Source organism: Homo sapiens, chromosome 4 (assembly GCF_000001405.40).
Source record: "Homo sapiens chromosome 4, GRCh38.p14 Primary Assembly".
In the NCBI taxonomy this organism is placed as follows: Eukaryota; Metazoa; Chordata; class Mammalia; order Primates; family Hominidae; genus Homo; species Homo sapiens.
The window spans coordinates 168,639,041-168,650,000 of record NC_000004.12 but is presented as its reverse complement, the minus strand read 5'-3'; the positions used below and the strand labels follow the sequence as shown (position 1 = coordinate 168,650,000).

Genomic DNA, 10,960 nt, shown 5'->3' with positions numbered 1-10,960 from the left:
GGTTTCACCATGTTGGCCAGGCTAGTCTCGAACTCCTGACCTCAGGTGCCCGCCTCAGCCTCCCAAAGTGCTGGGATTACAGGCGTGAGCCACCATGCCTGGCCACTTTATATATTTTAAACTTATTAAAATGTACAAAAGAGAAACCTGAAGAAAAACAAAATGATATTAGAATACCCCATTTATGCTGCATTTTAAAAGATGCAAAGAAATACATACGTTTTAGGACCATTATGTTGTAGGAAAAGAGACTTGCATTATTATTTCCTCATTCCTTAACTATGGAGGTCTTTTATACCCATATTTTATTAGTACCTTCCTCATAAGGTTGTTATGCAAACAAGGTAATGCATATCTAACCTCTGCTATGGGGCTTGATGCATGTTACCCAATAAAGTTAGCTGGCTGTTATAATTTCTTTCCAAAGCTAAGGAAAAAGACCATTGTGGAGGCACAGAAAGCAAATTAAGAAAATAAGTCTCTGACTTGGGATGCAGGCAACTAATGTCTTCCACGTTTCCTATTTGAGAGCACTTCCATGACACCTGGGTTATATATTAATGTGTTCATAATATTGGCCTTTGTTTCTAAAACTTCCCACTATTATGAGGGCCATTGGGGGCTTTCTAAAACATGGTCTTAATAAGAATCAAATTGAATCTGATTAAAGAAAACAAATGTTAGCAATTGTTTTATAAACTTAAGTATATAGTCTGAAAACTAGATCTATTGATGCAAAGAGATACTAAAAAAACTCACACCAGCCAGCGATTATCTCATCTTGCTGCAGATAGGAGGTGAAAAATACCACACTGTATTATAAATGAGCGCATGCAGAATGTGACACGTCAGGCTGGTATTCTGTTGTGCTTCCTTAACAACCAAGCAATAGCTTATAGGAAAGTTCTTGGCTCTGCTGAGTCAAAGTCCCAAGAACAGGATGCTTTTTATCCATGAAGTGACTCTTGAAGAAGTAAAAGAAGTCTAAGTTCCACTCCTTAAGCAGTCTTTGGGTTGGATCTTGAAAACCTTGCTGGGAGGAGAGAGAAGCTAATTATGAAACAAAATGGAAACTTGCATATACAGGAGAAGATGACAAGGTGTCTACTTACAGCTTTTACTCCAGTGGTGATGGGAGCAGGGTGAGAGAGATAATAAGCACTTAAATGATACCACATGAATAAAATAATTTCAGACAGGGAAATGTTATGAAGAAAACAAAATACAGTAAGAGTGATTGGAGCATATTAGGTAGGGTAGTTGTAGAATACAGTGAGGTAATTTAATGATGCAACAATAGTGCCTTCCACCAAGTTTGTGTAAGCATAAAGATATCAGCACATAAGAAGAACATTCATGAAGAGACCTTAAAAGCAGATGCTTGGTGCAAAAGTACTCATGCCAAGAGATTCTCTAATAATGCGCAATGCATCACCTATCTCAAAAGAGGCTCCCCAAACCCTCGGATTTATTAGGACTAACTGGCCGGTCTCTTACTCTCCAGACAAAGTACTTACACTTTCTTCGCTGACAGCATTCTCTCTTATTAATTTATACCCATATGGACCGAAAAAGCTTTCACTTATGACATAATATAGAATTTGCATCTATCTCTACAGTAACATGACCCATTTTTCCCCCTTCATTATGCCATAGATTTCTACTTTTTCTCTCTCAAGTTGCAAAACAACTATTTCTAATGATGGATTAAAAACCTGAAGCTGCTATTCCATTATGAACCTCTATCTAGTAGCTACTGCAAACTGCTCAGCTCCTTTGCTTGAAACCTCCAGGAGGGCTCTGGTGAGTAAGAAAAGCAGAAGAAAATTGCTTCCGGGATTGCTGGGTAAGAACTGCCTCTGGTGCTCTCTGGAGCATACTATCTCTTTATAAGAAGCAGACAAACCAGGAGTCAGGGGGGAGTTCACATCAAATCACCTTCAGAAGCTGTCAACAGTCCCAGAGAACTACCTTAGTGGACGGAAAGAAGGATGCGGAAAAAGGAGAGATGATGCAGCCTTGCTTTACGTTTGCAAATTGGATAAATAAGGAAAATATTTAATTCTTTAAAAAAATGTTAAATAAATGGGAGCTTTTCAACTTGAGGAGTGCACTGTAATAGAGTGATTACATGAAGGGAGCTCTGAAAAACTGCCAAGACTTTCTTTGTAACTACTTTTAAATATGCATGCCACTTCTTTTTTTTTTTTTTTTTTTTTTGAGACAGAGTCGGGCTCTGTCACCCAGGCTGGAGTACAATGGCACAATCTCCGCTCACTGCTGCCTCCGCCTCCAGGGTTCAAGCTATTCTTCTGTCTCAGCCTCCGGAGTAGCTGAGATTACAGGTGTGCACTACCATGCCCAGCTAATTTTTGTATTTTTAGTAGAGACGGGGTTTCACCATATTGGCCAGGCTGGTCTCGAACTCCTGACCTCAGATGACGTGCCTGCCTTGGCCTCCCAAAGTGCTGGGATTACAGGCATGAGCTACACGCCCGGCCACATGCCACCTCTTTTTTAAGAGACTGTTTTACACATAGGCTTATTATTGGGATCTACTGTTATGATTTGTCTTCCTAGCAGCCTTAGAAACATCTTTTTCTTTAAATATTTTAATAATTAATCCTGATCTCTAAGAAAAAACACAGTCCATTGTAGTAAGTGAACTAGAGAATCTTCTAAATTTTGCAGTGTTGTCTTTATAGTCAGCCTAACCTTTCTGAAGAACTTACTAGATCCTAACTAGACCCTTCAAAAATCTTAAATGCCAGAGAAAATATTCTACTGTCTAATCTTTACATTTTTAAGGACTTCTTCTAGGTTTAAAAGGCTGCTGAAATGTTTGATCCCTTTCATAGTGGATGGTTAATGTAGCATCTTTGAAACTGGTTGAAGAAGGAAAGATAACTATTTTTTATTTTGAGTGGTGGAATTTTTATTTCTGTTTTTTCTTTTCCAAACTATTTTTGCTATGCACATTGAGAGGTAGGCCATGTTTTTATAATATTTATGCATAAGTATTGGTTGTATGTGTTATAAATACCTTAAATTTGTTGGTAGTTTTGAGGATTGAGATATCATATTTATACCATTATTTAGAAAGGCCTTGAGTATTTTAAAACTATATTGTTACCAGAAAAGTATAAATAAAGGTACATGTCATGAAGTGCTATATTCTTGAGTGATGAGACTTAGACACTATCCTCATCTTCTAAGATTTTATAGTGTAAGACATCATGGCTAAGATATTCTCTATTTTGTAGCAAAGAGAAATAGGATGTTTCTGTAATCATTGCTTGGAGCCATAGAAATTAATCTTATGCCACTGATACCACGGGGAAACCAGAGGCCCCAAGCTGTGTGGTGGCTGTGGGCCAGATCTTGATTCATTCTTGGATGCCTCCTGTGCACCATTTCACAAGTGATACCTGGAGACCACTTTAAGTATATTTCATTTGAGGGTTAGGATTGGTTCTGGAGAGAGGAATGTCACAGGGGTGGGTGGTAAAGTTGTAAGTAGAGACTGATGGACTGTTATCTCCAGAATTACAGAGCTGTGTGCTCTCCACATACTTGTTAAGGCTTGGCAACGAAGCCCCGAGCTTGGCCCAGTCTGGGACTGGAGTCCTGCTGTGGAAGCAGATTGCTGGTGGCCCCGAAGTCATCTGCACTAGTACCAGAGGGAATTTACCATCAATATTCTACTTGGTAGGTTCTCACTTAGAATATCACCTCCCAGCTCTCCTCAAAGGAGGGGTATTTGGGCACGAGATATGGGAGGCAGCAGGCATAGCATCTGGCATAGGACCCAGCCCTTCTTTTTCGTGGGAAAGCTGAGCTTCCTGCAGCCAGGAAGAGGCTGTGATGGCCTGGAGGTGATGCTGCATGCTGCCATCCCTTGAACAGCAGCCAGGAGACCACTTTGTCGCCTGGTGATGAAGTTGGCTTCTTGCCCCAGTTTCTTCTTAGAATAGCAAATAACATACAAGGCTCAGCATCCCTGTGAGGTCGTCTCCCGGTTTTTAATAATTCCTTGTATTTATTTAGTGCCTTTTTCCTTTCCCAAGAGCTAACTCTAAGAGTTTTCCATATGTTACTTCAATAATCCTCATTACAGCCCCGTGCCTGAGCTGGTTAGAGAACGGTGCTAATGGGGCCAAGGTCAGCAACTCAGACTCCACGAGCCTCCTGTGAGCAGCCCCGTTTGCACTAGAAAATCTGTTTCATGGTCTCACTCTGCACAGCTCCTTTAATAAGCTTACAAGAGGTCACAGAGATAAATAAATAACTAATAATAATGGCAGCTAACATCGAATAAGTGTTCACTCTGGGCCAGGTATTTTCTAAGTGAATGTAGTATATAATGAATTCAGCCCTCTCAGAAACCCCATGAGAGAAGTACTAACCCATTTTAAAGAAAGAGGAAACTGAGGCCCAGGGAGGTTCAATAAATGTCTCAAAGTCACACAGGAAATGGTGGAGCAGAGATTTCAACTTCATCAGTCTACTTAAAGGGATTCAAAGAGTTTAACCACTACTTGATATTGCCGCCCGATAAGTGACACTGTGGATGGCACGACGCTGTTCGCAAACACCCCATCTTATCTGTATTGTAAGCACTACTTACTAATACGGGTGGTGAGGTGGGGAGTTGAGAAGAGGGACAGAAGTGACATTTAAAGGGCCCTACTACTGATACATATCAGGTACTGTGCTGCACATACCATAGGTGTTGTCTCATTTAATCTTTACAACAACATTTAGAGCTGGGTACTATTGCCTTCATTTTACGGATTGGGATACTGAGGGTCAAAAAGGCTACATAATTTGAATACTGATATTTAGTGGAAGATCCTGAATTAGAAAAAATATCTTTCTCCCTATTTCCTTTTTTTTTTTTTTTGAGACTGTGTCGCACACTGTCACCCAGGCTGGAGTGCACTGGTGTGATCTCAGCTCACTGCAACCTCCTCCTGGGTTCAAGCAATTCTCATGCCTCAGCTTCCCGAGTAGCTGGGATTACAGGCGCCCACCACCATGCCCGGCTAATTTTTGTGTTTTTAGTAGAGACAGGGTTTCCATATTGGCCAGGCTGGTCTTGAACTCCTGACCTCCAGTGATCCGCCTGCCTCGGCCTTCCAAAGTGCTGGGATTATAGGCGTGAGCCACTGCACCCAGCTGATATCTCCCTATTTCTGATGCATATGCTATTTTCATGAAACTTCAGATAACACTTCCACTTTAGTTAAAGGAAATACTATAGGCACGAAAAAGGAACACAGGTACAGAGGAGATGAAGAGAGTTATCACGAATGATGGTGTCCAGGATGAGAACCACACTTTTGGGCTTCCATTGCTGTGTCCTCTCTCCTACAACTACCACATGGCTTTTTGGTCCTATTTACATACTCCACTCAAACAGAAAGTCGGTCAACCCTTAGGGCCACAGGGGCAACGCTGGATGATGGGACGGAACAGGTGGTTACTTGACAGTAAAACAGAGATGCTACAACCTACCTTATTTGTTTATTGGGTGGATTCAGTGATATGGTCTGTTTAACCCCTTGGGACAAGGTCAGTGCTCAATAAATGTTTGAAAGATATCAACATCCGGCCACGTGCAGTGGCTCACGCCTGTAATCCCAGCACATTGGGTGGCTGGAGGCAGGAGGATCAGTTGAGATCAGGAGTTCAAGACCAGCCTGGCCAACATGTTGAAACCCCATCTCTACTAAAAATACAAAAATTAGCCATTCTTGGTGGAGGCGCCTGTAATCCCAGCTACATGGGAGGCTGAGGCAACAGAATCACTTGAACCCGGGAGGTGGAGGTTGCAGAGAGCCAAGATTGCACCACTGCACTCCAGCCTGGATGACAAGAGTGAGATTCCATTAAAAAAAAAAAAAAAAGATATCAACATCAAAGAGTTCCTCTTCATCACTGGAAGCAAATGGGACTAATTACCAAACCATTTTTCTCTTTGGAGGCACCAAGCGGTTTTGAAAGAAGAATGGAATCCAAGAAGCATGAGTTCCGGAGTCAGCACACCAGGGTTAGTACCCTGGCTCTGTCATTTCCTCCATGAATGAATTTTTGCAAACTACTTAGCCTCTCTGAGCTTCAGTTTCCTAATCGGGAAGTAGGGATATTAACAGACCTTATGTCCTGGGATTATTAAAGGAGAAAAAACATGTCAAGAGACTTTTGATCAGGGCTCAGTAAAGGCCAACTGTTATTATTAAACTGATGATCTTTAGGAGAAACTAAAATGTAGAACTGTGCTTATATTTCCCAGTTTTTGCTAGGTCACCTGCGGTCATAAATGGGAGTTCTCTGGAGCTGTCACTCAAATGCTTCAGACACTCTTAACCAGCCTGCTTTCCTAAAAGTGTTCATTAGCGGAGGGGAATTTTGCTTTTTCAGCAGATAAAGTTTCAAAGTACATTGGCAGGATGTGTTGGGTGCCTTGATTAATGGCTGGGTAGATACTCATATTGGTAGTAATTACTAACACATGTGTATTGGAAATCATACACGGCATAGAGCACACTTCATGTTATGATAAACAGCAAGATCTTAAACAGGGACATTTTGGCTAGCTGGCTGTGATAACTGTTAACATTGCAAAGCCAGTTCCTAGACTTCAAGTTCCTTGTAACTGAAATATCAAAACCAAAAGAAAGAAAAACTCCAGATTGCTTCCTGTGTATTATCCTCAAGCCAGACAATGCAATCCGGATATGAATTCCACCCGAAAGCAATACTTCCACTGTGGTTAGCAAACCAGACTGCTTTTCCCTTTCAGTTTAACTTGATCTAATTAAGGATAGGGTATAGAATTTTGCCATAATGCTCTCAGATCCTTTAACAAGTCATCCAACATTTGTATCATTACATAACTCGCCAAGTTATAACCCAATAGGCAACTGTTTCTTTCAGCACAATGTAAGCTTTCCTATATAGAGAACATTCTAAGGCTCTACAGCTGGTCTCTAACAAGGCTCCAAACACCCCTTTCCTTCCAGCTCCAAATACTTTGCTGTCTTCTCAAAGAGCTTTCACGTCTGCTAACAATAAGGCAAGGTATACACCTGACAATCACTCAGGAGACTTATGTTTGGGAATTTCTCTTCAGATTGTCACAAGACAGTAGAGACGAATGTACAGGAAAAGCAGTTTCTTCCCACTGTGTTGGGATTTGCTGCCAGCATATGTTATTGCATGCTGCCCCACTATCACAAGCTGGATTTGCTTCTGAAAAAGTGCAGGAAGACTCAAGCCTATTGAGCAGAAGATGCCTGCCAGGCGTGGTGGCTCATGTCTGTAATCCCAGCACTTTGGGAGACCAAGGCGGGTGGATCGCCTGAGGTCAGGAGTTTGAGACCAGCCTGGCCAACAGGGTGAAACCTTATCTCTATTAAAAATACAAAAATTAGCTGGGCGTGGTGGCGGGCGCCTATAATCCCAGCTACTCGGGAGGCTGAGGCAGGAGGATCGCTTGAACCCAGGAGGCAGAGATTGCAGTAAGCTAAGATCGCGCCACTTCACTCCAGCCTGGGCAAAACAGTGAAACTCCATCTCAAAAATATAAAATAAAATAAATACATAAATAAAAATAAAAAAGAAGATTCCTGCACTTGGAAAAGGGAATAGAGAAGAGGCAGTAAGTGGAATGTGTCTACCAAGACTGGGAGTTCGGTTGCGTCCCATGTCAATTTTCAACCACTCTGTTAGTCTGCTTTCAGTCTAAAAACTTTTTTTCATCAGGAATCTACTTGTTCCTTGATAAAACACACATAAGAGAATCCAGCCAGAGACCACTTGCACATTTTGTGATCCTGAAAGACCCGAGGGATGTGTAGGTAGCAGGGCTATGTTTGTAATCCAAGGAACACACAATCCCTAAGTGCCCTGGGAGTAGAGAGCAGGCACCAGGTGAAACCATCCTGGCTGTGCTCCTTATGGGTGAAAGGAGACGAAGACACAACTCATGGAAAGAAATCAGTGCAGTGCCTGTGTACTGTGCATGCCCAATCAACATTCATTGCGCTGTCCATTCCCTAGTCATCTATCCGCCTCCTGGAGTATCTGGTTTTTCAGGAACAATAGATTGTAAACTTAGTTTAGTAGGACTGTAAGAACCACTATGCCTCTCTGGGGAAACTGGCTGTGAAGCTTTCCCTCAGAGCAGTTTGTAAATGTTGCCCAGCTGGGGTGCACGGGAGTAGAAAGTTCCCCAGATAAAGTCTTCAGATTGTCTCTCATGAGTCAGGTTTCAGATCCATTTTACAGCGGCATCTGGAAAGGCCTTAGGGAGATAGGCTTTCTCATCTGGAGCAGCCGAGGCCGACAAAATCAGGGGTGAGAGCATATCTAAGACCTGAGTGGGATCAAAGCAGAGTGCTCTAAAGAGAGGAGTTCAATGCGTCAGCAAAACTGAAGAGGACAAAAACAGGACGGAACCAGGGTTGGTGGCAGGCTCTGAGCACCACAGTCCTGGGTCTTAGGGTCATCAGAGAGCCCTCTGAGCTACTGTCTGGATCAGGAGGTTTCTGTGGCTGGTTTTTATGTGCCAGCTTTATCCCAGGGCAAAGGTAGATCTGTAGTATTTAAAGGGTCTGGCCTAGACAGCATAGTTTAGGAGAGGGTTTCTTCAAGTATGGCATGCAAAGGCTTACTCAAAACCCTCTACGGTGCTTATTAAAACGCAGATCCCAGGGCTCCACTCAGACTTAAGCAATCAGTATGTCTTAGAGCCAGGGCCCTAGAATCTCTCTCTTTTTTTTTTTTTTTGAGATGGAGTCTCGCTCTGTCGCCCAGGCTGGAGTGCCGTGGTGCAATCTTGGCTCATTACAAGCTCCGCCTCCCAGGTTCATGCCATTCTCCTGCCTCAGCCTCTCGAGTAGCTGGGACTACAGGCACATGCCGCCACGCCTGGCTAATTTTTTGTATTTTTAGTAGAGACGGGGTTTCACTGTGTTAGCCAGGATGGTCTCGATCTCCTGACCTCATGATCCGCCCACCTCGACCTCCCAAAGTGTTGGGATTACAGGCGTAGGCCACCGTGCCCGGCCTGGAATCTCTATTTTTCAAAAGCACCATACCCAACTCACACACGGGATTTTTAGGAATTCTAAGATTTTAAAACCTGCTGAAATACAGAAAGTTCAAGGAATTTAAAGACAGGAAACATAAGTACTAATCTGGGCTGTGTGACCTTAACCTCACTGAGCCTTAATTTCTTCATCTGTAAACTGGGGTAATGTATATCATTATAAGTGTAGCTTACGCTAATGGAGATAAGTGATTTATAAGTGCAAATATTCATAATTATCACATTTCTGAGCCAAAGGAAAATCTTGGAGACTCCCACCATCATACCCAAGTTAGGTCTAAGTGTAGTCAGTTATCTCTGAATCTACCCATGTAATGACCCTTAGCTACATGCCTCTTGGAAGGCTTTCTGGTGATCTCTTATTTTATCCAGAACTTATAACCTTGTGTGAGTGCCTTGTGTGTACTGGGAGATGGACTACTGGCTTTATCCAATCCTGGAGCCATGAGGGAGAAGTGCTTTGAGGGGCCAGAAGTCTCAGGGGTGAATTCCAGGGACTTTTAATGTGCTAAGCTACTTGGGACAGTAGCTGGGGTTAAGAATTAAGAGGTGGAAGAATAGGATTAGAGTCCCAAATGAGTTGATGAATTGGAGTAGTAGTCAGGAACAAAGGGAAAAAAGCTCAATCGGAAAAGTTCTGGATGCTACATGGAGGAAACAATCATTATCACAAACACAGGCTAAGCAGTGTCCAGCCAAATGAGGATAATACGCTGAACTTGAGCCAGTGAGGCCCGGCTATCGCTTGAAACACGAGCATGAAAGTTGGCCGCACCAACGGAAGCACAGTTTGAAGGAATTGTGAGGTCATCGTCACTTTCTCATACCTTCATGAGACTTCTTTGTCCACTTCTGGACTTCACAGTTTGAGATGCATGGAGCACTTGGATATAGTTCAACAGATAGAAATAAAGATGATGAAATTGTTGGAGAACAAGAACTGTGAGAAAAAGCAAAAAGATCTGGTATTATTGAACCTAAAAGACAGGCAAGCTAAGGGGAGACTTAACTCTTCCTGGCCACAAATTAAAGTTGAGTGGCAGGCCGGGCACGGTGGCTCACGCCTATAATCCCAGCACTTTGGGTGGCCGAGGCGGGCGGATCACGAGGTCAGAAGATCGAGACCATCCTGGCTAACACGGTGAAACCCCGTCTCTACTAAAAAATACAAAAAATTAGCTGGGCGTGGTAGTGGGTGCCTGTAGTCCCAGCTACTCAGGAGGCTGAGGCAGGAGAATGGTGTGAACCTGGGAGGTGGAGCTTGCAGTGAGCCAAGATCACACCACTGCACTCCAGCCTGGGTGACAGAGCAAGACTCCGTCTCAAAAAAAAAAAAAAAAAGTTGAATGGCCAATAGTTCTTTGTAGCCTATTGAGGAGTGAACAGGTTTAAGTAAAAGAAAACATTTCTTATGATTCATGGTCTGAGTCCAATCAGACTGTTGTGGCAAGGGCGAAACTCCTTTCCAAACTTTGACCAAGGGGCCACACCAGACTGGAGGATGCGGATACAATAACATGCCCAGTTTAAACTATTTTGACAACAATACTGACTGCATTTGGAATCAGCTCCAGCTCTAGCCTACAGTTATAACTGTGGGCAGTAAATTAACTTGTCTGGGCCTCAGTTTCCTCATCTATAAAATAAAGGCAACTGAGCAATGACTTCTGTGGTTTTCACAGTTTTGAAAATTCACATTCTGTGATATTCATAAGTAATATAGAGGCTGTCTTTAACATGCTAAAATTTATTTCCAGTGAAAGGAAACACAGTAAACATGCTGGGGAAATTGGCATTTGATCTAGGCTTGATGGGCTAATGTCATGGGCTGGGAAAACTGGGGAG

General features: G+C 42.7%; 1 protein-coding gene and 1 long non-coding RNA gene across 15 annotated transcripts in view; one reads left to right on the top strand and one right to left on the bottom strand.

The window, feature by feature from the left end:
* Positions 1 to 10,960, bottom strand: part of PALLD (palladin, cytoskeletal associated protein) — a 431,390-nt gene that overhangs the window by 278,441 nt on the left and 141,989 nt on the right. The window contains exon 2 of one of the 14 annotated variants that reach the window (XM_024453939.2): positions 9,943 to 10,055. The exons of the other annotated variants lie outside the window; for them this stretch is intronic. The gene's annotated coding sequence lies outside the window, so the exon portion shown is untranslated. The remainder of the gene's footprint in view (positions 1 to 9,942; positions 10,056 to 10,960) is intronic. 14 annotated transcript variants of the gene reach the window in all.
* Positions 1,414 to 2,105, top strand: PALLD-AS1 (PALLD antisense RNA 1). The gene is made up of 2 exons (XR_001741449.3): positions 1,414 to 1,509; positions 1,657 to 2,105. It is a non-coding gene; the product is annotated as a PALLD antisense RNA 1 (long non-coding RNA).